This window comes from Homo sapiens, chromosome 13, assembly GCF_000001405.40.
Source record: "Homo sapiens chromosome 13, GRCh38.p14 Primary Assembly".
Lineage (NCBI taxonomy): Eukaryota > Metazoa > Chordata > Mammalia > Primates > Hominidae > Homo > Homo sapiens.
Window position 1 is genome coordinate 21,372,030 of NC_000013.11, and position 25,397 is coordinate 21,397,426.

The window sequence follows — 25,397 nt, forward strand, 5'->3', positions numbered from 1 at the left end:
CCACCCACCTCGGCCTCCCAAAGTGCTGAAATTACAGGCATGAGCCACCGTGCCCGGCCTGCAATTTGATATTTTTACCCGTCTTCAAGATCTTTCCTTTCTGGTGGAGATACTTCAATTTTTATAAATATAGCTACAGGAAATCTTTAAATGGCTTTAATAACAAACTTGGCCTCTTTGGAAGGGCACTGGAACACAGATGCCATAAAATAATTCTACATAATAAAATCTATTAATTATTCAGCATTTTAACAATCACAATTCAACAACTTACAGTGATCTGAAGGTTCTCAAGATCCTAAATGACTTCTGAAATTAAATTATGTTCAGTAAAAAGCTAAGTTAAACTCTTTAGGTTTTGAATAAACCTAAGTAAACAACAATTTTGTTGCACTAAAATAATACCTATCTTAAAAGTGGTTTCCCCAAACTATTAGCCAATCTCTTTCTCTAACCAAGCACTATTTTACCAGATTTTCAAGTTGATAAACATAAGTTACTCTCTCATTTGGTAAATACCACTTTATAACAAAGAAAACACTTCAAATACAAGACTTTGTTTATTAATAAAGTAATTCATTATGACTTTTGAAAAAAAAAGTTTTAAAATGTTCTGTGTACATGTCAATGTAGGTTAGGCCAGCCAAAAGACAAAGCAAAGCATCAACATTAAGTCACAGGCTAGGATTATACAAATAAGAACAAACACAAGGCTTATGGTACTTGTTAGGTAAACACAACCAAACTAAACTGTACTTCAAATTTGTTTATATAAAAGCATATTAAAGCTCACTTTAAAATAGTGTCCATCTTTTCTTTTAAACGGGCATAGACTCATTTGCAGTCATGTACAAATATACCTAATAGCTTTCTTCATCTTTTAATACAAGTACAATTCCTTGCTTCTTTATGCAACCTAACAAAATAATATAGAATGAAGTCATTAGAAAAATATGAACCTTTCTGAATCTATATTACATTTTTAATTTAAATTGGAAAATACAGTTTAGATCATATGAAACATATGGATTTCAGACATGTATTATCTGTTTCTAACAGATTATTACAGGCGGTCTTTATTTTGGCTGAAATGCAAAAATATGACTTTCTTAATAACAGATTAGTTAAAAATACTTTCCATTGATAGCAGTGCTAGTCCCTAGAACAAAAGGTAAGCAAAACTTATTTGTAAGTTACTGCCTATTCAATGCCCAGAATATGTAGATCCTAAATCTAAGCCCTTAATATACATCTACTTTAAAGATAACTGAAAGATCTCACATGCCTGATAATCCTTAATTTAAACCGTCCTGTAAACATAGTCAAAATCTGCTAATAGAAATACAATTCAAGTAAACATTGCATATTTGATTTAAACCACCTTACAGTTAAATTCACTCATGACACATTGGATCATAACCACTAATATGTAAAAAGTTTTAAAAAAATCATCCTTACGTATAGATGAAAATAAACTTTGTAAACTTGTTCATTTAAAATAACGAATGTACTGCAGCTGCTCTTTGGTTTGGCATAGTTTCAGGTACTGAATATTCAAGTAAATTTGTTCCCAGGTAAACCAAGTCTCCTAATTTGTCTGTAATGGCAATGGCAAGACCTGAACTTCAACTTTATTTTTCTTAAGGTGTCATCACAAAGTGTTTGAAGGACCAAAGATAGTACTTCTAAAATTTGACAGGGCTTCATTTTGATTTTTTCTCCCCAAATAGTTGATAGCAATAATCAATACCAGTTGAGATACCAAAGAGGCAGCCTTTCCCTGATTCCCACACCACTTGTAGGCCTTTGCTAGAATGGTCATTAATACGTATGAATCAGTTGAGCTAAATATTATTTAGAACGTGGCAAAATGCTGGCTGTAAATTAAATCAAAGATAAGTAATTCAAAGGCTTTAACTGAAAATTTCTGAAAAGATGTTTGCTGTGCTATTAAAGATGTTAAATAACAAAAATTAAAAGAACTGAGAAAGACTATACCATGAAAGTGCATAATAGTGAAGAAAAAAATGAAGTTCCCTTGGCGTTAGCCAGGTGCATGCAAATCTTTTTATCTGAATGTAGAAATGCAAAAAGTACCAGGAGAACATTTCTGAAAGTAGTCAAGTATGTTTTAACATTTATCTCCTTATAATATGCAAACTGCCAAACTGGAGTTATGTTTTTAGTTGGTAATTGATATATATATATATTTTTGAGATGGAGTTTCACTCGTCGCCCAGGCTGGAGTGCAGTGGCACGATCTCGGCTCACTGCGACCTCCACCTCCTGGGTTCAAGTGATTCTCCTGCCTCCACCTCCCGAGTAGTTGGGACTACAGGCGTGTGCCACCATGCCTGGACAGTTTTGGGGTTTTTTTGTATTTTTAGTGGAGACAGGGTTTTGCCATTTTGACCAGGCTAATCTCGAACCCCTGACCTCAGGTGATCCGCCAGCCTTGGCCTCCCAAAGTGCTGGGATTACAGGCATGAGCCACCACACCCAGCAATAATTGGTATCTCTTAAATCTCATTCTAGTTTGCTAGAATCAAGATTACTAAGGAGTTGAAACAAAGGTAGAAGAATCCATACTATAATATCCCAAATTATGTTTTCAAAGCTAACTCATTCCTTTGGTTCAAAAAGAAAAAAAGTTGCCTCCTTTTAAAATCCAATATTAGTATGGCTGATGGAAATTAGGCCAAATTATAAACAAATTATAAACCTACAGTAGCAACCATAAAATTTATGCTGTACTAGGAAATGACAGAGCTATTCCTAGTTTATTATTTAGCATACAGAAGGTACTCCAAAAAATTTACCGGGGCGGGGCGTGGTGGCTCACGCCTGTAATCCCAGCACTTTGGGAAGCTGAGGTGGGTGGATTATTTGAGGTCAGGAGTTAGTGATCAGCCTGGTCAACATGGTGAAACCTCGTCTCTTCTAAAAATGTGAAAATTAGCCGGGCATGGTGGCATGAGCCTGTAATCCCAGCTACTTGGGAGGCTGAGGCAGGAGACTCTATTGAACCTGGAAGGCAGAGGTTGCAGCGAGCCAAGATCCCGCCACTGCACTCCTGCCTGGGAGACAGAGCAAAACTCTGTGGAAAAAAGAAGAAAAAAATTTATTGGGTGAATGAAAAGTGATTTTGCAAAATTAGGCATCACAGAATGTTAGAAGTCATCCAGTCCAACTTATTCACAACACCCCCTCCCCTGCAGTCCCATTTTACAGACAGGAAGCTCCAACCTGTAGTACTCACAGATGCTGCTGAGATTCATCTCCACCCACTCACTGGAAGCAATCAATTATTTTGGGGGGGGTGTGTGTGTGTGTGTGTCTGTCTGTCTAAAAGGTGTAAATGAGGAGTGACATTTCTACATTGTTTATTCTGTACTTTTCCTTGGAGTTAATGCAACACCTCCTGTCGCTTAGATTTTAAAAGGAAAAAGGAGAAATGTGTCTAGTCATAAAGGGGTTGCCGTTAGGAAGTCAGACTTCAGACTGTGCGTCTAAGAGTAGAATCCACTTCTCAAGAGACTGGGAATGTAAAATGACCACTCAGGTTAGAATTTCCAACTGACAGCCAGGAGGAAAACTTACTCTAAAGTTTTTTTTGCCTAGTTTAAATTGCATTTTAAATCACTGTTTAAGCTATTACAGTATTACTGTAAAAAGTTTCAAAGTAATTTTTAGTCATTACCTACACTGAAATTTGAAAGTGAAGTCAACAGCATGCTTTATTCTAACTGCTGTTAAAACTCAAAACTATTTTTTTTAACAAATTACAATATTCCTCTTAGATTTTCTTCTGGACACCTATACTTCTTCCTACTGTGTCCAGTATTCTCCAGCACATGTACCTTTGTGTTTCTCTGCCCATGTACATACCCCTGAAAGTTCAACAAAAAAAGCTATAAAATAGCAGAGAGAACCCAAAATATTTCTTATACTGCCAAGTTCCCTTTAAACCTTGGGCACTTGCTCTACTACATGGTTGTATTAATGCTCATAACTAAGCTTTCGATGAATTAGACCAATGTGTTCTATGTTCTAAATGATATTTAGATATCTGAATCCTTCTGTTATAGCCAACAATAAAAAAAGTTATTAAAAATGTTGAAAAGTATAAAATAGTAATTATAAATTAGCAAATACCCAATTTAAAAAAGCAGTTTTCCTTATACAGTACAAGCAACAGTAATTTGAATATTATTCACTTTCAGCCACCATTTGCCCTAGATGTACTTTAAAGTTTTTAAGCTTGTGTTTTTGGAGTGAAAATGTATATGGATACTTATTCTAATAATGTAATTCAGGTATCAAAAAATACATATGCATGTTAAAATGTGATGACAGCTCATATTATAGCAACTCATAACAGGTAAGTATTATTTCCAGAATAACATTAAGTCACTTTTGTAGCTCTAAGTCAATGCTGCACAAATGGACACTTAAGATTAAGGCATCATTCTGCTCTGGAGTAGTGCTTCTGTGAATCCCAGGAACTGTACAAAGGCTTTCCGTTTTAAAAAATATATCTTCTGTTATACTTCAGTTATTTCATTCCACTGATCATTTTCTTGCAAATGAAAATTGAAAATACCAGTCTATAATGTTTTCATACACCTACAAAAAAAGAAACAAATTATTGGTTAAAACTTGATTTTTTATTTCTGAAAATATTTACTAAATGGTTCTGTGGGCTAAGGTACAAAGCTACTAATATAACAAGATGGAAAATGAATTCCTTAACACTACTAATATTATAACAATAAAGATTTTTGTAGCAGTAAATGAGTGGGTATTACTGTCTTCCCCAGAAGCAATCAAAAGAGTATTTTAAAAGGAAGAATCTTACAGTACTCCCAGACTGCTAACTTGGACATCATCTGAGAAGACATCTGGTCCACCTACACCTGTCCTAAGATTGGCGCAAGATGTAGAAAACTTCCCACAGCAACTGTTAAAGGAACTGCAGCTGAGGATTCTCAACCACCACAAGCATCAGCAATTATTTCTGCCCACATTAAGAAGAAATGTGGACCTCAGACTGAGGGCTTTTCTGGGGACCAAGTACTACTCCACAGCTCCAGCTCTTGGTGGCATGGACCTGGCTTACAATCACCGTATGCGGGACACAGCTCCTCTTCTGACTGCAGCGCACTCGGCCCGACGTGACCTCCACCCCTAGTGCCTGCGATCTGACTGCCCGACATGACCTCCACCCCTAGTGCCTGCGATCTGACTCTGCCCGACGTGACCTCCACCCCTAGTGCCTGCGATCTGACTCTGCCCGACGTGACCTCCACCCCTAGTGCCTGCGATCTGACTCTGCCCGACGTGACCTCCACCCCTAGTGCCTGTGATCTGACTCTGCCCGACGTGACCTCCACCCCTAGTGCCTGTGATCTGACTCTGCCCGACGTGACCTCCACCCCTAGTGCCTGCGATCTGACTCTGCCCGACGTGACCTCCACCCCTAGTGCCTGCGATCTGACTCTGCCCGACATGACCTCCACCCCTAGTGCCTGCGATCTGACTGCCCGACGTGACCTCCACCCCTAGTGCCTGTGATCTGACTCTGCCCGACGTGACCTCCACCCCTAGTGCCTGTGATCTGACTCTGCCCGACGTGACCTCCACCCCTAGTGCCTGTGATCTGACTCCGTCCTGGGTCTTAGGCTCTGGCTGCAGCCCTGCCCGCAGGCTCCAGGTCCTCTGCAAGGACCTAACTGCTGAGGACAAGCCCACAAGTGAGGAAACAGATGCTCCTCTAGCTGACACTAAAGATAAGATGCCTCTAGAAAAACAAACTCCTGTTATACAGGAACAGGATGATAAATGCGATAAGCTCCATGTTTGTGGTAATTTCCTACTTAGCAATTTTCTCTTGCTGTGTCTTTTACAAACCATATAACATAGATAAACCTCTTATTTCTTTCTTAGAGCCTTTAATTTTGGTCATTTTTCTCTGGGTCGAATTTCCTCAATAGTGGACAAAAGTCACCTTTTTTTCTTTTTTCTTTTTTTGAGACAGGGCCTTGCTCTGTTACCCAGGCTGGAGTGCAGCTTGTGCCATCTTGGCTCATTGCAGCCTCGACCTCCTGGGCTCAAGTGATCCTCCCACTTCAGCCTCCCACGTAACTGGGACTATACAGGTGTGCATCAACACAAACCTGGCTAATTTTTTATTTTTTGTCGAGATGAGGTCTCACTATACTAATTTAAGTATCTGACCCAGGCTGGTCTCTCACTCCTGGACTTAAGTGATCCTCCCACCTTGAACTCCCAAAGTGCTGGAATTAGAGGTGTGAGCCACCTTGCCTGCCCACCTTTTTTTCTTTAATTAATAAGGTACTGCCTTCTGAAAAGGCCAGTGGTCCACATACTAGTCCTAAACTATTTTTATTAGTTTCTTCATTAATTTACCAACAAATAATTACTAAGATTATTCTATAAGGAATAAGGAAAATGAGATTTGGGCAGATGTTACATTCTAGTCTTTCCTGTACTGCCTAATTTTGCTGATATAATTAAAAAGACTAAAAAAATACAACTGCAAATTGTTTAAAGATTATGAAATATGCAAATAAGCTGCATTTATTCAAGGATTACCTTTATACTGTCTTACCTTGCTCTTATTCAAATGGTTAGTTATGAACAAGTGGTACTCAATTTTCTATTGCCACTGTTACATGGTTATTTGTCCCTGTAAGCATATAATTATATATGACATGACAAAAAAAAAAAAAAAAAGAAGTATTAAGTTTCTGGCTAAATGGTAAAATGACAGCAAAAATGACTATCATGTAAATACAAAATAGGCTTATGGTGTCAACCATTTGTCTTCTTATAGAACCTAGAAGTAAGTAAAGAGCTAACATTAGCAGTCAAAAGTTTGATTTTATGTTTATCTTGTGGAAATACCTATTGGCTTTAAAGATGTTAAACAGCAATAATTAAGAAGTTCACAAAATGAACTTTTCCCTAGATTGTTATTTTTTAGAGACGGGCCTTAATAGTATTGCCTAGGCTGGCCTTAAACTTTGGAATTTTTCCTTGACCTTATACAAAAGATGTAATGATCCCAATGAAGATCCTAAAGATACTAATTTAAGAGAATGTTTTAAATGCTGCTAAAAGTCAAGACAACAACAAAAAAACCTCAGAAATTCGAACAGTAGGTCTTTAAGGGTATTTAGGGTATTTGCTAGTTAGTACAAATGGAGCTAAATGTCCAGAATCATTTTTCTTTTTCCTTTTTTTTTTTGAGACAGGGTCTTGCTCTGTCATCCAGGGTGAAGTGCAGTGGCATGATCATAGCTCACTGTAGCTTCAATATCCCAGGCTCAAGCAATCCTCTCACCTCAGCCTCCTGAATAGCTGGGACTACAGACACATGCTATCAGGCCTAGAAAATTTTTTTCCCAAAGTTTTTCGTAGAGATAGGCTATATGGCCCAGGCTGGTCTCAAACTCCTGAGCTCAAGTGATCCTCCTGCCTCAGCCTCCGGAAGTGCTGGGATTACAGGTGTGAGCCACTGTGCCTGACCCAAAACCACTTTTCTATAGTGCAAGGAAATAATCAGTGTTATTACTATTATCATTAAAAAACAGATGTGTTTTAGACTGTAATGCTAGTTAAGTAGCCAGACAATATTTTAAACCCAGGTCTGATGAAAATTCCCACTTCAATTTTACTGACTATTCTATACCTTAATCCTCAATTCATAAATGATTAAGAGTCACCTAGAAAAGGTTAAAATATATTCAGTGTGCTCTTTTTTTTCTTTTTTCTTTTTTTTTGAGATGGAATCTCGCTGTCGCCCAGGCTGGGGTGCAGTGGTGCAATCTTGGCTCACTGCGGGCTCCAACCCCCGGGGTTCACGCCATTCCCCTGCCTCAGCCTCCCGAGTAGCTGGGACTACAGGCGCCCACCACCTCGCCCGTCTAATTTTTTGTATTTTCAGTAGAGACGGGGTTTCACCATGTTAGCCAGGATGGTCTCGATCTCGTGACCTCGTGATCCGCCTGCCTCGGCCTCCCAAAGTGCTGGGATTACAGGCATGAGCCACCGTGCCCAGCCTTTTTTTCCTTTCTTCCCCGAGATGGAGTCTCACTCTGTCACCCAGGCTGGAGTGCAGTGGTGTGATCTCGGCTCACTGCAACCTCCGCCTCCCGGGTTCAAGCGATTCTCCTGCCTCAGCCTCCCGAGTAGCTGGGATTACAGGCACGTGCCACCACACCTGGCTAATTTTTGTATTCTTAGTAGAGATGGGGTTTCACCACGTTCGCCAAGCTGGTCTCTAACACTTGACCTTGTGATCCACCCACCTCGGCCTCCCAAAGTGCTGGGATTATAGGCGTGAGCCACCGTTCCTGGCCAGTGTGCTCTTTTTTAACTAAGGCAGCAAAGGATGTAATGCTTTTCAAGAATTATTTTCAACTAAGCAAAAGCTGGGACCCTAAAGAATAACACTGCTGGCCGGGCATGGTGGCTCATGCCTATAATCCCAGCACTTTGGGGGGCTGAGGCGGGTGGATCACAAGGTCAGGAGATCGAGACCATCCTGGCCAACATGGTGAAACCCCGTCTCTACTATAATACAAAAAATTAGCTGGGCATGGTGGCAACCACCTGTAGTCCCAGCTACTCGGGAGGCTGAGGCAGGGGAATCACTTGAACCCGGGAGGCGGAGGTTGCAGTAAGCAGAGATCGTGCCACTGCACTCTAGCCTGGTGACAGAGCGAAATTCCATCTCAAAAAAAAAAAAAGAATAACGTTGCTTATTCAGAACAGCCAATGCCAAAAGAACTTTCCATATCTCAGTGGAGAAATATGTGGCTGGGTTAACAAAAACCTGCAGTTGCATAGAAGAAAACATGAGCCGCTATACTCTCCTCGCTCTATCCCTTCCTCATAGAAGCTACTAAGAAACACAAACACCCTATATATATTTTATTTATTTATTTATTTTTTATTATTATTATTTTTTGAGATGGAGTCTCGCTCTGTCACCCAGGCTGGAGTGCAGTGGCGCGATCTCAGCTCACTGCAAGCTCCGCCTCCCGGGTTCAAGCCATTCTCTTGCCTCAGTCTCCTGAGTAGCTGGGAATACAGGCGCCCGCCACCACGCCCGGCTAATTTTTTATATTTGTAGTAGAGACGGGGTTTCACCGTGTTAGCCAGGATGGTCTCATTCTCCTGACTTTGTGATCCACCCGCCTCGGCATCCCAAAGTGTTGGGATTACAGGCGTGAGCCACCGCGCCCAGCATATATTTAAAAGTTTCACATATTTTAGTATTTTTAAAATGTTACATTATTTTGATTTTTCCACATGTATTATATCTGGTGCTTTTCATTTGAACCAGACAAAGCAGTGTTTCAAATGAGAACTATTACCTGATTTGACGATGCCTTCTTCAGCTCCATTCTCCAGCCACTGAGATTCACTGTCCAACAAGCGGTTTTTTGATTCACTAAGTGGTTTGATAGGAAAAGGTTGATTTGAGCCACTACTGAAAAGAAGAGCAAACAACTTAGTAAACAGCTTAATGCTCAACTATGGATACTTAATAAATTAATAAGCAGCAAATTAGTATTCCTTCTCCTAAATATGTGAGGGCAACTCATGAGATCTTAGCACTCTGAAAAAACTATCTTCAAAATAAAAATAGGCCCACAACCCCCCATTAAATGGCTCTCTAGACCCAAGAATCTGTATTCCAACACTGCCAATGAAAACAATTAGTCAAAATTTAAAAAGCTTCAGAGGCCAGTCTGAAATGTTCTTAATATGTTAATCAGGAGCCATAGGTAGTACAAGGACAGGTGAGGATCTATATCTGTGGCCAGTACAAAACAATTACCTGTCATTTGCCAAGTTTTCTGCTTTCTACCTCTGCAGTTTAGATCTAAGGGGAAAAAATGATTCAGTGATTTAGCGTAGACTTATTTTTCTAGCTAAAAGATCCAGGGAGGGAGGGAATGGAGGAAGGAAAGGAAGAGGAAAAGGAAACTAACATTTGTTGGTTCCCTATTATGGGCCAGACACGATGCTAGGCATCTTATACACATTATCTCAACCCTCAAAATAAACTTTGGTGGTAAGTATCATTATCCTAATTTTATAGAGGTGGAAACTGAGGCTCATAGTTTAAGTGACTTGGCCAGAACCCTAACAAATGTTAGAGCTCAAAGGTCTAAGGTTTTAAGCTACATTCTAAGATTTATGGTTCTTCCAATATTAATATGCTAGCTTAGAACTTATCATTTTCTCTTCTCCTACAACTTATTTCTGTAGTGAATAAATTACCAATGTTTTACGTGGACAGAAGTATCTCTAGCTTCTTTAAAATTTCATTTAAAAGGAACTATTACACTGAATGTATGAAAGTTTACTTGCCATGCAAATATTATGGGAAAATTTCCTCTAAGATGAATTAATGAAAAAAATTTGTATTTTTGAATCCTCATTATTTTGATAGTATATTAAAATTTATCAAAATAAAATGGTGATTAGTATAATGACTAATTTATTTGCAAAAACATAACTGACATAAACCAATCTAATCAAATCTTGAAAGGTCTTAGTTGCTCCCCAGCTTGCCCAGACATTTCCAGCTTTATTTGATTATCCTGGTTTAACTATTAATAAACAAGCATTCTCTTTCCTACTCGTAAGTGTTCTGGTTTAGATAATAAAAAATTATGGTTATTAGCACATATACTTTTATTAAACCTCAGTTAAAAAAATTTAAATTTCTCTTTCCCTAACTATGCTGGCTTACTAAATCACTACTGTATTTACTCATAAGATGTACACACAACACATGTATACGGTTTGCTTTATGATGAATATAGAAAAGCATAAGGACAATAAGCATACCTTCTGGCATACTCATTCTGGTTTGTAACAGAAGCTTGTTCTGGATCCATCCCCACAAGGCGAGTTGGAAAACTGCAACCATCACCCAAGCTGCATAATGAAAAAGAGTAATAATTTAAATAATGTTAAGTTAAATCAAAATGGTCAAATTTAACACTCATTTTTCAGAGACATGGCATACATTATCATAACTTGTCATATAAGGAAGTAACTCCTAAAATTTCTAATTTAGGGGTTATTACCTTGATACGGTTTGGCTGTGTCCTCACCCATATCTCATCTTGAATTGTAGTTCCCATAATTCCCACTGTCAAGGGAGGGACCCAGTGGGAGGTAAATGAATCATGAGGGAGGGTTTTTCCTGTGCTGTTCTCATGATAATGCACAAATCTCACAAGATCTGACGGTTTTATAAACGGGAGTTCCCCTGGCACATACTCTTGTTGTCTGCCACCATATAAAACGTGAGTTGCTTCTCCTTGCCTTCCACTATGATAGTGAGGCCTCCTCAGCCGTGTGTGAGTCAATTAAACATCTTTCCTTTATAAATTACCCAGTTTCGGGTATGTCTTCATTAGCAGTGTGAGAACAGACTAATACCTCTATTGCAGACATAAGCCCTTTTCTTTTATAATTTACATACATTTAGAAACAATGTCTTCTGTGCCTATTAAGATTATGATGCCTAGTATAGCACCCCAAGCATAGGTATTCAAGTATTTGGGTAACTGACCTGCTTATCATAATCATTCAGGCTCAAACTGAAATTCATGATGTAAGTTCCACATATTTATTTATTCAACAATATTCATTAAACAAATATTTACTGAATGCCTATGATGTTCTAGGTATTATTTTAAGCACTACAGATATAGGAAATAGTGAACAAAAGAGAAGAAAATTTCTGCCTTCAAGAAGCTTGCGGTCTAAAAAGAGCATACTTATGCCTTATTTTCATATTATCTAAACACATCAAAATTGTATACTATAGGGACTTTTACTTCTAGCCAAGATGGAATAACTGGTAAACTGTACATAGTCAGAAACTGAACAGTACGAAATAATTGTTTTCAAAATAGGCAGTAGAGAACTGTGGTCTCAGAACAAAGAAAAACAAAACCAAGTTAAGTTACAGCTTTCTGCCAGGACCCTGGCACTATGGGGGGTGGGAAACCAAGCAGAACAAGGTAGTTTCACTGAATTGAGATGACAGAGGTGGGAGTTTTCAGGCTGAGGTGGGCCGGGTGCAGTGGCTCACATCTGTAATCCCAGCACTTTGGGAGGCTGAGGCAGGCGGATCACTTGAGGTCAGGAGTTCAAGACCATCCTGGCCAACATGGTGAAATGCCATCTCTACTAAAACTACAAAAATTAGCTGGGTGTGGTGGCATGCGCCTGTAATCCTAGCTACTAGGGAGGCTGAGGCATACGAATCGCTTGAACCCGGGAGGCGGAGGTTGCAGTGAGCCAAGATCGCACCACTGCACTTCAGCCTGAGCACTCAGCCTGCCTCACTTTGAGACAGAGACTCTATCTCCAAAAAAAAAAAAAAAAAAAAAAAGAGGGGCTGAGGTGACTTAAATCTATGGGACAGAGTTGAGAGAGAGCAAGATATGCAGAGAAATGGCTACAGAAATCTGCACTGTGGTGTACCTGAAGTCTTTTGATAAATACTAAGCTGCACTTGTGAATCCAGGAAAAGAACAACTGGGAATAATGAATGATGAATAATTCACAGAGCTTTCACAGCACTGGGAAGCATTCAAATTTGACCAGCTTGACTGGGGCGATCTCACTGAACACATGGATTTGGTAGAAATTCCATTTATTGGAGCGCTAAACTAGCACTACAGAACGTAATACTCTGGACTCAACGTAATAAAGCTTAAAACAAGCCTCAGGCCAAGTGCAGTAGTAATGCCTGTAATCCTAGCCCTTCGGGAGGCCAATCTACATAGGCAGCAAAGTAGCATTCAAAATGTCCACCACCCAATCAAAAGTTACTGGACATGAAAAGTAGCACATATGTGATCTATAGCTAAGAAAAAAAAAGTCAATAGAAAAAAATCAGAAAATTAGCAATTTCAGTGAAAATTAGCAAACAAGACTTTAAAATGATTATAAATGTACCTGTGAATTAAAAGGAAAAATAGATACAATTAAAAGAGAAACGTAAGATATAAAAAAAACCAAACCAAACTTCCAGAGCTGAAAAATACAACATCTGGGCCAGGCACGGTGGTTCATGCCTGTAATAGCAGCACTTTGGGAGGATGAGGTGGGCGGATTGCTTGAGGCCAGGAGTTTGAGACCAGCCTGGCCAACATGGTGAAACCCTGTCTTTACTAAAAATATAAAACTTAGCCAGGTGTGGTGTTACGCACCGGTAATCCCAGCTTCTTTGGAGGCTGAGGCACAAGAATTGCTTGAACCCAGGAGGCACAGGTTGCAGTGAGCCTAGATCGTGCCACTGCACTCCAGCCTGGGCGACAGAGCAAGACTCTGTCTCTAAATAAATAAATAAATATTTTAAAAATCTTAAGTGAAAGATTCATTGGAGGAGCTTACCAGCAGGCTAGACATTATAGAAGAGATCAGTGAACTTGTGGATATTAGCAGTAGAAATTAACCAAAATGAAGCAGAGAAAAGAAGATGGCAGAGATGGACAAAATAGCAATGACCTGTGGGTCACTATCAAGCTATTTAACATATGTATACCCAAGAGTACCAGAAAAGCTGGTCAGGGAGGAGGTGGAAAGAGGGGAATAGGCAGAAAAAAATAAAGACGTAACTGATGAAAATTATTCAAATCTGATGAAAACTAAGAACTTACAGATCCGAGAAGCCTAATGAACCCCAGGGAGGATAAACACCAAGGAACCTCATCAAACCACTTAAAATCAATGATAAGGATAAACTCTTAAAAGTAGCTACAGGAGGGGAAAGGATAGTAATTTACAAACAATGAAATAAAGATGGGAGTCAGGCTGACTTTTCATTAGAAACAATGCAGACCAGAAGATAATGGAACATCTTTAAAGGAAGGAAAACAAAAAACAACAACAAAATCCTATCGACTTAGAATTCACTGTTTACAGAAAATAACTTCAAAATTTCTGTTTAGAGGAAATAACTTCAAAACAAGTAATCTGTGTTCCAACCAATGGGAGGGGGACAATCTTGAATACATGAGACAATGGATAAAGTATACAAAAGAGATCGATGAACTTGAAGATACAGCAATAGGATCTATACAAAATGAAACACAGAAAAAAGACAAAAAATGAACAGTGCATCAGTGAGCTGTGGGAGGACTGTGAGTGACTGATAACATGTGTAATTGGAGTCCTCACAGTAATAGGGGGAAGGAGATGACAAAATAATGGTTAACAATATTTTCCAAATTTGATTAAAGCTCTAAAACCAGAGATCCAAAAAGCTCAACTAATACCAAGCACAAGAAACTAGAAAACTAGATCAAGATATACCATAATCAAATTGCATGAAGTAGTGATAGTCTTAAAAGTAGCCATAGAAAAAACATATATAGACTAACAAAAATAAGAGTTATCACAATTTCTTATTAGAAAAATGCAACCCAGAAGCATAACATTTAGCAACATCTAAAATTTTTTGTTTTGTTTTTGAGAGACAGTCTTGCTCTGTTGCCCAGGCTGCAATGTGTTGGCACCATCTCAGCTCACTGCAACCTCTGTCTCCCAGGTTCAAGCGATTCTTGTGCCTCAGCCTCCCGAGTAGCTGGGACTACAGGTGTGCGCCACCACACCCAGTTAATTTTTGTATTTTTAGTAGAGACCGGGTTTCACCATGTTGGCCAGGCTGGTCTTGAACTCCTGGCCCCAAGTGATTCACCTGCCTCGGCCTCCCAAAGTGCTGGGATTACAGGCATGACCCACTGTGTCTGGCTAATATCTAGAATTTTATACCAAGCAAAAATGTCTTTAAAAAATGAAAGCAAATAAGTCATTTTCAGACCAAAAAAAGGCAATTCAGTTAATCTAGGGAAAAAACCCATAACTCTTACAAATATGTCACTCAATCTTCAAATATTTTTCCCTTCTTTTTGATGACTTTGGTATATAGCTGGCCTAAAAAGGATGGAAACTGGAAAGAAATGGAAACTATCAATCATCTCAAGAATATACTCTCATTTACATTTGGGGTAAAATTGCAGTATGTGGTTGGTCTTCTTTGATTTAGGACACAACAGAATACACAATTCATTTCTGTGATAGGATCTTTGAAGTTGTGGCTAATAACTATAAATTTTTATAATTCTTTACTTCAAACAAGTTATTTGCATTTTGAAGAAAAAATCTTATTTTTTTAGTGAATCATCTTTTTCTTCTACTTCCCATTCAAATATATAAACTCTCCTTAACCTTATCTAATTAAAAAATGAAAAATAAAATATTTTATGTATAAAAAAAGATATTTTGAGTTTTCATTCTCAAAGTCTGTGAGAATATCATTATATATTATATTCTCTAAATCTGAAGACATTTAACCAGAAAAAGAGACTACCACAGATGCCATAATCTCTGAGACCCACATTTTATAAATTACCTTGAAAATATTGGAAGTAGCCAATATTTCTTTTCATCACCAAAGACTTGTCTCCAATTTTTACTGCATCCAAGAGAGAAACCATTTCCATCAGGTCCGTATGAAAACGTGGGTGCGCGGAATGATTCTGTTAAATATACATACATATATAAACTAATTAATCTATTTAAAAATTATAGGAGGGATGGAAATTACCAATTTTCTTGCTTATATCTTTGACACAAAAACTGTAAATATAATTTAAAATAAATAATACATTAGTAGCAATTAAAAGATAAATTTATGAAACTTATTTTGGGAAAAAATAGCACATTTAATATTTCATCAACCTTATAAAGTAACATGTCAAAATAATTATCAAATATTACTGAAAATCTAGTATTGTGTGCTCAGTATCTCTTGGCTTTTTTTTTCTACAAGATATTCTAACTCCTGCAACTTCACTCATTATTTATGAATTTCCTACTATGTTCCTGATAGCACTGTACCAGGTATTTGGGATTCAAAGATAAATTAGATAAAATTCCTACCAAAGAACCTAGAGTCTAGCAAAAATTACAGTGTTATAAGTGCTAACATGGCCATGACGTACTGGGAGCACAGAGGTGAAGGAAGCTAATTTTGTCTCGATAGAGACATATGTGTGCCTCGGGGGTGCTTGTAGGGAAAGGTGAGCAAGCTGAGGATGACTAGACCATTATTTCAAGCTTGGTTGTTAAGTGATGTAGAGTGAGGTCTGGAGAAAGATACAGGCTTCACAAAAAATGTTTTTTAATTTAAAAACAAGGCACTTCAGTGTGTTTTATAAGCTAAGGATAAGAACCCAGGGCATTGGGAGGGATTGCTGATATAAAAAAGTAAAATAAAAACTGAAGAAAGGGATCCTAGAAGAGATGGGAAGGAGTCTAGAAAAGTTGTAAAGGTTAACCTTGAATACCAGAAAAGACATCTTTCTTCCTCAGAAGTTAGAGGAAGGTGAGAGTGATGGGTGTGAAACAAGAAATGTTTGTATGAGGCTATAAAGATGTGAAGATGAGAGTTTACTTGTGACTCCTTCTAATTTTTCTACTAGGAACTCATAAAATGGGTAAGGAGAGTGGGAGAATTATGAAAATCTGGAATAACCATCTTGGGTAACAGGTGAGGGACCTGACCAGAAACATGTGACATTACTGCCAAACAGAGCTAAGGCCCTCCATGAGGCCTAACATCTTAAATCTGTAGCTATAGCAAACCTTATGGAGTAAGACATCCTTCTACAGCTTTCAACAGCCCCACTGTGCACGCGGATAGAGGATGGCTGGATAACCAGAGCCATGAATTAGCAAAGGAATAATGGGAGAAAGTCTAGGCACCAAAGATGTAAGGAGCTGTTTTTGTCAAGAGCTGTTAAAGTCATTTATCATAGGATCTAGAATGGACATGGGTGAGAAATAAAACCAGAAGGGAAAGAAAAACTTAGGAGAAAATTGTTGGAGAATAGAAGACTCAGGAAGTACATCAGAATACAGCAAATAGAGAATAACATATTCAAGTTTAAAATTTCATTTTCAGGGGCTCTTCAGTTCTAAGCGATTAAAAAACTCAGAATCAAAGGGACTAGCTTGCTTGTTCAGGATAATGGCATTAGCTTAAATGTAGGAACTCACTAAATGAGGGTAAACGATCTCAAGGTGGGTAGGTGACAGTTATGAAGAAGACAGAGGTGATACAGCAGAATAAGACACCCTCAAAAGACCCAAGAACAAACATCTGAATCAGTGGAGAACTAGCTAAAGACCAGGGCTGTGGGAGATGAAGCTGTTAGAAAGTGGTGTGCTAAGCAATGTTTTTTCAAAGTGTGGGTTAAAACACCTTAACAGACCACATAATCAACTGAGTGACTTGCAACCCGCATTTCCTTTTAAGAAACTAGAAAAGAAAATATCAGAATATACTGCATATAGTAGAGATTAAAAAGGTTTTGTGAAACTTTTGCTTGTTTTATTTATATAATTTTATAAATATTTGTGCATGTTCTAAGTCATGATATGAAATGCTGCATTTCTTACTGTGGCCACCGGCAAAAAAAAGTTTGAAAAAGATTGTTCAAGAGAATAGCAGGTTCCCTAGAAATGCCAATCTCTCACATACCTACGGGGGCTGGGCAGGAAACAAAGAAGGCACGACTGGCAAGACCTGCAGCAAATGACAGTGTCCACACCCTATCTAAATCCATGCCCTATCTTGGGCAGTCCACCACTGCTTAGCTCCATTTCACTGACGCCAAGTGGGAAAACGGGCCTACTACCACTAGATTGATCAGTTTTGAAAAGAAGAAATCTGGTTTTCTTTGTGAAATCACTCACATAGATTTTATTGGTTGGGGAGAACTTAAGGGCTGGACTTTGCCTGTAGGCTGCCTTTTTATCATTTTCAATTAAAGGTAAAGAGATGGCATAATATTCTATAAAGATGACAAAAAAAAGTAGTTAATAGGGATAAGAAATTTTATTTACATGGAAAAGGGATGAAAGCATGATGGAACTGGAAGAGAAGGAACAAATCCTCACACTGGAAGCCCACCATAACTTACAACACAGCTCAGTAACACAACGTTAAAATGATCCAATAACTAAAGCATCTACATGTCTCACCCCAAATCCCTTAATTTTTCTGTAATTAAAAACTGTTTCCCTCCAACTTACCTGGCAGATATATGGCTGCAGATTGCAGGTGGATTTTAACTTTTTTACAAAACACTACCGTAAAAATCCTTATTTTGTGTCTTGGTTATGTTAGCAGATACATGAATATTTCAATGATAACATAGCAGTACTTCTTACATGTCAATAGCTCAGTGAGCAATGCCACCATTGCTGTTTAGGGAATGTTTGTCCAATTACGTGAATACCTTACTTTTCCCCCTATATTTTCATTTTTTAAAATGAGCAAACAAAAAGAGAAATAAATGTTAATACTAGTGACACAATACGTAAGTCTCACTGACAACTGACACAAATATGGAAATAATGAGGCATGTCAAAAGCACTATTCCTTAGCCTCAGTCATGGAACATATGCCAGTTAAATGTGTTTAACTGTGGGGGAAAAAAGTAAAGAATATATATGGGCTGGGCAAGGTGACTTGCATCTGTAATCCTAGCATTTTGGGAGGCCGAAGTGGGAGGATCACTCAAGCCCAGGAGTTTGAGACAGGCCTGGGCAACGTAGCAAGACCCCATCTCCATAAGAAATAAATAAATTAGCTGGGTGTGGTAGTGCACACCTGTAGACCCAGCTACTTGGGAGGCTGAGGTGGGAACACTGCTTAAGTCCAGGAGGTCAAGGCTGCAGTGAGCTGTGATGGTACTACTGCACTCTAGCCAGAGCAAGAGTGAGACTCTGTCTCAAAAAAAAGAAAAAAAAAAAAGAATATACATGAAATACATTGTTATGTTTTAGCTAAAAGATAAGCTGTAATTGAGGATATAAAGGTTTTCTTATTTGAGAACAAACTTCCTTAAAGCATGTAAATCTACTGTCTATCCCTTATAGATTAATTTTTTTTTTTTTGAGATAGGGTCTTACTCTCATTGCCCAGGCTGGAGTGCAATGGTGCAATTTTGGCTCACTGCAGCTAGTTTTGTTTTGTATTTTTAGTAAAGACAGGGTTTCTCCATGTTGCCCAGGCTGGTCTCGAACTCCTGCACTCAAGTAATCCATCCATCTTGGCCTCCCAAAGTGCTGGGATTACAGGTGTGAGCCACTGTGCCCTGCCTCTTATAGATTAATTTTTGAAACGACACTGTATGAATGCAGGAAAGTTTTCATTTATTAAAATTTATAAAATAGTTCTCCACTTTTATATATAACACATTACTGAAAATGTGTTAAAAAGTCAATCTCATTTCCTCAACCTTCTCCAAAATAATGAACCTTTATTATAAAACCATTGTTCCCATCCAGTCACAATTAATTTTACTACAGAATTATTTTATTATTTTTATTTTTTAGAGACTGGGTCTCCCTATGTTGTCTAGGGTGTCCTCCAGGGCTCAGGGGATTCTCCCGCCTCTGTCTCTGCAGTAGCTGGGATTATTAGGCACGTGCCACCAATTCCAGAGTCAGAATTGTCTTACACTTCTGTATCATCTGACCCTTGTTCTTCTCTAGATTTCATATTTATTTATGGTCATTGTCCTAAGTAATTATAATTTATTTTAACCTACTTACCTATTGTTGTTCTATTTTTTCCAACTAGCCAGCAGTGGTAGCTGAAAAGTGAGAGGACGCTGATGAAGAACATTGCAGACACAAAGAAAAGAAAAAGTACGTGGAATTTTGCACGTGTATCTGTCAGTTCATTCTGAGGAAAAAAAGAAGTTAATTTTGAGGTCAACCTCTAAAATATAACTTACAAGTTAGTTCTGTCTAAAGATTGTTGAATATATCAAAATACTTGCCATATTTGAAAACTAATAAATTACTTAATATATCCCAATGCAACAAGGGCAAAAGCAAAGAATTGGTATTACCAAAGCAACCTGCTTATCTAGGAGTTCAGGAAGAGTTATTTAAAATACTGCTCTTAAATTTTTTTTAATTTTAGCTTGGCATGGTGGTGCATACCTGTAATCCCAGCTATTGGGGAGACTGAGACAAGAGGGTCACTGAGCCTAGGAGTTCTAGGCCATCCTGGGCAACACAGTGAGACCCTGTCTCATAAAAAAAAAAAAAAAACAATAGCAATACTTCCAGTAATAAAGTGAAAAGATCGACTCTTCTACCCAACAAATTTTCTTTTGTACTTTATGTATATATTCAAGCTTTCTCCAACATCCGACATATATAAGCTCCCCATATCTATACAAAAATATTTGCTTATTTTATTTAGATTTGCTGCTAACTAAAAACTAATTGTGAAATATTTTTGGACTTCTTTAATCTCTATTTTCAGACCACCTTACCCATGCCTTCAGCTGCTTCAATTCCTACTTTTTTCATCTGTATGTCTACAGAGCCTTTGTGCATAGTTAGCAATTTTGATAAATAAATTTACCACAGGTATTAATGAATGAAAACAGCTTCTCTGGTATCCCTTCTTATGGCTATATACATTTTAACAGAAGCAAACTAGAGCCTAGAAGAAATTAGTACCTTTAATAGAAGGAGGCAGCCTTTAAATGTTAGCTCTTAAAATAAACCATATAGGCAAAGCATCTACTCCACCAGAACACGAGGCTGTTCTGCTTGATTTAAAAAGTATTACAGACTAAAAGAAGACTATTAGCATTAGGTTATTGTGACATTGATCTTTTTCTCTTTTCTTCCAGAGTAACCAACATGTTTCAAATGTTTCAAACATATCAAGTGAGTCTTCTGACCATTTTGTGAAGCAAATTTTTATTAAACATATTCACTATAAATGTCACAAAGATCATGAGAATGTCATGGTAATGATGTATTTTACCTTTGGACAACTCTCTGTAGACTTCCTGCGGCAAAGCTTGTGCAAATAGAGACATATATTAAGAAACCAATTTTTATGCAAAATTATCCTAAACACTAGTTTTATAAATCCTGTTGAAAGAACACTAAGATGTTGCTTTCTAATGGCCATCTATAACATTTTCTCAAGAAATACAAAAGAAAAAATAGACAAGAACATGTAGCTGTTCAAGCACATTTCTTTTCTTTTTTCTTTTTTTTTTTTTTTAAAGATACAAGGTCTTGGCTGGGCACGGTGGCTCACACCTGTAATCCCAGTACTTTGGGAGGCGGAGACAGGCGGATCACTTGAGGTTGAGTTTGAGACCAGCCTGGCCAACATGGTGAAACCCTGTCTCTACTAAAAATGCAAAAATTAGCCGGGCATGGTGGTACACGCCTGTAATCCCAGCTACTTGGGAGGCTGAGGCAGGAGAATCACTTAACCCAGAAGGTGGAGGTTGCAGTGAGCCAAGATCGCACTGCTGCACTCCAGAGGCAGGCAGATCACCTGAGGTCAAGAGTTCGAGACCAGCCTGGCCAACATGGTGAAACCCCGTCTCTACTAAAAATGCAAAAATTAGCCAGGCATGGTGGTACACGCCTGTAATCCCAGCTACTTGGGAGGCTGAGGCAGGAGAATCACTTAACCCAGAAGGTGGAGGTTGCAGTGAGCCGAGATCGCACTGCTGCACTCCAGCCTGGGCGACACAGCAAGTCTCACAAAAAAAAAAAAAAAAAAAAAAAAAAAAAAGGTACAAGGTCTCACTAAGGCACCAGAGCTAGGGCTAGTCTTTAACTCCTGGTCTTAAGTGATCCTCCCGCCTTGGCCTCCCAAAGTGCTGGACTACAGGCGTGAGCCACCTGCGCTGGGCCTGCAGACACATTTCAGTCTGGGGAAGAATAAAATAAAATGTTTTTAGCCAATATTGAAAACAAACAAACAAACCTCTGACTAGTTTCCAAAAACTAGATCTGATGACTTCTAACCACCTTCACTGCTTCTACCTTATTCCAGCCGGGATGCTGCAACAGCCTACCATGTCAGCCTGTGTATTGGCACTTGCCCTCTCCCATCTATTCTCAGCTCAGCAATCAGAGTGAGCCTTGCACAAATCAGATCATGTCCCAACCTGGCTGCTAGTAAAAGCCACAGTCATTTCAATACTCTCCAAGGCCCTCTGTCATTTTGGCCCCCTCTTGGTCCATTCCTTTCAGTCTCCTTTCTGCTCATTCTACCCCAGCCACAGTAGCCTTCTTGTGTTACTGAAACATGGCAGGGACACGTATCATGTTCTCTGGGCCTGAATGCTCTTCTCTCAGATATCCATTAATTCCCTTCAAGTTTTTGCTTAAATCCTACCTTCTAAATAAGGTCTACCCTGACTGTGCTATTCAATATTGCCACCTGCCCTATCATGCCACCGCCCAATACTTAAATCTCTTACCCTGCTCATTATTTATTACTTGTCCCCCTCCTTCTCAAAAGCAAGCTCTACAAAGAGAGAACTCTGCCCGTTTTTTCAGAGATATACTACAAGTCTCTAGAGTACTACCTGCCATACAGTAAGTACTAAATACATATTTATTGAATGAAGAAAAAGGTATATTTACGTTTACAAGTCTTTTTTTACTCAGAATTAATCCAAAAAAGTTATTCATTCTTTAATAAATCATTGCACACAAACATTGCTGAATTTTCTGATAGAGAAATGTGAAATTAGGTAATTTAGATTTCATCTATCTGGCACTAAATCTGTTTAAATAAGGGGTATGGTTAGTATGTTGTGAACTGAACAAAGGTGCCCAGCTAAGGGGGAAATCAAAAGCCAAAATTCATGAGGCTGACACCACACAGGTAGGGGTGTTCTCTTCTAATATGTGCAAAGGCATTGTAAGTGTTAGGATCCCCTGGTTTTACATACCCAAACTTTAAACATCTAATGATGTTTAAATCCTTCTAAAATGTAGTAGGTATCTCCTACTTTAATTATATTCTTTAATTATAATTATATTCTTCCTAACTATGAGTAGCAAGTTATAGTGGAAAGTAGCTGGATGCTGGAATAGCCAGATTTTAGTTTAAATTCTTTCTTTTTTTTTTTTTTTGAGATAGAGTCTCGATCTGTAGCCCAGGCTGGAGTGCAGTGGTGCAATCTCAGCTCACTGCAAGCTCCGTCTCCCAGGTTCATGCTATTCTCCTGCCTCAGCCTCCAGAGTAGCTGGGACTACAGGCGCCAGCTACCAGGCCCAGCTAATTCTTTGTATTTTTAGTAGATACGGGGTTTCACCATGTTAGTCAGGATGGTCTTGATCTCCTGACCTCGTGATCCACCTGCCTCGGCCTCCCAAAGTGCTGGGATTACAGGTGTAAGCCACCGCGCCCGGCCTAAATTCTTCCTATGTTATTAAGTATGTGACCTTCGGTAGTTGCATAATTTCTCCAATTTGTTTCCAACTCTGAAAACTGAAATAATAATGGCCCCCTTCTATATAAACCATATTTTCTTCTTTTCTTTTCTTTTTTTTTTTTTTTTTGAGACAGAGTCTTGCTCTGTCGCCAGGCTGGAGTGCAGTGGCGTGATCCGTGATCTTGGCTCACTGGAACCTCCGCCTCCCGGGTTCAAGCGATTCTCCTGCCTCAGCCTCCCAAGTAGCTGGGACTACAGGTGCGTGCCACCACACCCAGCTAATTTTGTATTTTTAGTAGAGATGGGGTTTCACCATTGTTGGCCAGAATGGTCTCGATCTCCTGACCTCGTGATCCGCTCGCCTCAGCCTCCCAAAGTGCTGGGATTACAGGCATAAGCCACCGCGCCCCAACCCTATTTTCTTATTTTCTATATTTCTGAGGCTCTGGCATCTGGGGCCTCACTAACTGGGGAGAAACTGCCCCTCCCCAGGCTAGCCAGTTCTTAAGAGACAGCAAACCACTCACCCAGGAGCACATCTTTCATACATAAACTAAACAATCCAGATCCCACACTGAGAACCACCTCTTCTATCTGCCTTTTACACTCCAGAAGGCAGCAGTCCTCTGCCTTCATCATCCCAGGACCAGGTACAAGACAACTAGAGATAGCCCCGATACCTGAGTCCTCTGCAATTCCTGCAGCCAGCCAATCCAAAATCTGCTTACCCTGCCTTCCCCACAGGAACCACAATAAAGGCTCTGGTTCCCACGTGGTGCTTCCTATCCTGGGGCCCCTTCCTCTTGGCGCTGTGAGTAACAAACTATCTTTTCAGTGGCAATTGTCTCCTGATCTATTGGCCTCACCATACCTGAATAATAACAAAACCTACATTGTAAAACACCTTCAAAAGGTTTTTAGAAAGAGTAGATGTAAAAGTACTTTTTAACTACAATAATCCCTCCTCCAAAATCAGAGATTTAAAGGTAAAACCAAAAATAACAAAAGTGCCAGAGGAAAAAAATAGGACAATATCTGTATAAATTTATATGGAATAGACAACAGACAGGTATCATATATAAAAAGAACTGCTTTAAAAATATAAAACTTTGATGTGACAAAAACAAAAGAAAGCAGAAATGTAAGACATAAACAGAAAATGTGGGTCAGGCATGGTGGCTCACACCTATTATCCCAGTATTTCAGGAGGCCGAGGTGGGTGGATCACCTAAGGTCAGGAGTTCAAGATCAGTCTGGCCAACATGGCGAAACCCTGTCTCTACTAAAAATACAAAAATTAACCAGGCGTGGTGGTGCATGCCTGTAGTCCCAGCTACTCAGGAGGCGAAGGCAGGAAAATCACTTGAATCCAGGAGGTGAAGGTTACAGTGAGCTGAGATTGTGCCACTGCACTCCAGCCTGCATGACAGAGTGAGACTCTGTCTCAAAAAAAAAAAAAGAAAGAAAGAAAACTCAGAAAATGTGGAAAAAGCATTTGCAACCCATGACAGAAAAAGGATTAATATCTTTAGAAGTGTCTCACATATTCTGGTTAGGAGTCCTTTGTGAGATATATGCGTTGTAAATATCTTCTCCCAGTCAGTAGCTTGCTTTTTCACTCCAAAAGTCACCTTTTTATAAAAAGTTCTTTATTTTAATGAAGTCCAATTTATTGATCTTTTCTTTTATGGTGATTGCTATGTTCAATGTAAGAAATCCTCATTTGGGCTGGCCGCAGTGGCTCATGCCTGTAATGCCAGCATTTTGGGAGACCGAGGCGGGCGGATCACCTGAGGTCAGGAGTTCAAGACTGGCCTGGCCAACATGGTAAAACCCCGTCTCTGCTAGAGAATCACTTGAACCCAGGAAGTGGAGGTTGCAGTGAGCCGAGATTGTGCCATCACACTCTAGCCTGGGTGACAAGAGCTAAACTGCATCTCAAAAAAAAAAAAAGAAATCCTCATCTAACTCAAGGTCAAGAATAACGATTAGTGGCTGGGCTCGGTGGCTCGCACCTGTAATCCCAGCACTTTGGGAGGC

The 25,397-nt window shown here is 39.0% G+C and overlaps 2 protein-coding genes and 1 pseudogene across 19 annotated transcripts in view, besides 1 other annotated feature; 2 read left to right on the top strand and 1 right to left on the bottom strand.

Moving 5' to 3' along the window:
* MIPEPP3 (mitochondrial intermediate peptidase pseudogene 3) overlaps positions 1 to 20,894 on the top strand; it is a 94,799-nt pseudogene extending 73,905 nt beyond the window's left edge. Inside the window, exons 4-5 of the transcript NR_046461.1 lie at positions 19,721 to 19,788; positions 20,793 to 20,894. The product of NR_046461.1 is annotated as a mitochondrial intermediate peptidase pseudogene 3, transcript variant 2 (transcript). The remainder of the gene's footprint in view (positions 1 to 19,720; positions 19,789 to 20,792) is intronic.
* ZDHHC20 (zDHHC palmitoyltransferase 20) overlaps positions 542 to 25,397 on the bottom strand; it is an 86,733-nt gene continuing 61,877 nt past the window's right edge. For 6 of the 17 annotated variants that reach the window (NM_001330059.2, XM_047430246.1, XM_047430243.1 and 3 more), the window contains 6 exons: positions 19,693 to 19,825; positions 15,479 to 15,605; positions 10,891 to 10,980; positions 9,405 to 9,520; positions 6,632 to 6,709; positions 542 to 4,626 (listed from right to left, as the gene is read on the bottom strand). In NM_001330059.2, coding sequence (NP_001316988.1) covers positions 6,672 to 6,709; positions 9,405 to 9,520; positions 10,891 to 10,980; positions 15,479 to 15,605; positions 19,693 to 19,825 — 504 coding nt within the window. In that variant the 3' untranslated portion in view covers positions 542 to 4,626; positions 6,632 to 6,671. Of the gene's footprint in view, positions 4,627 to 6,631; positions 6,710 to 9,404; positions 9,521 to 9,871; positions 9,917 to 10,890; positions 10,981 to 15,478; positions 15,606 to 18,165; positions 18,385 to 19,692; positions 19,826 to 20,929; positions 21,146 to 25,397 lie in introns of those variants that run through there. The other 11 variants (NM_001286638.2, XM_006719797.2, XM_047430244.1 and 8 more) reach the window with 8 other exon arrangements.
* Positions 4,660 to 6,553, top strand: LOC124903130 (nitric oxide synthase-like). The gene has a single exon (XM_047430813.1). The coding sequence runs from the start codon at positions 5,215 to 5,217 to the stop codon at positions 5,563 to 5,565; it is 351 nt and encodes a 116-aa protein (XP_047286769.1). The 5' UTR covers positions 4,660 to 5,214; the 3' UTR covers positions 5,566 to 6,553.
* Positions 4,915 to 5,431: an enhancer, noted in NCBI's record as "H3K27ac-H3K4me1 hESC enhancer chr13:21951083-21951599 (GRCh37/hg19 assembly coordinates)". NCBI's record gives its function as "activates a minimal SCP1, AML or CMV promoter by ChIP-STARR-seq in primed H9 embryonic stem cells {active_cell/tissue: H9 hESC(primed)}" and the evidence as "EXISTENCE:reporter gene assay evidence [ECO:0000049][PMID:30033119]".

What these genes read in the sequence shown, in the direction of transcription:
- LOC124903130 (XM_047430813.1), top strand. Translation starts at nt 5,215, where the DNA reads ATGACCTCCACCCCTAGTGCCTGCGATCTGACTCTGCCCGACGTGACC.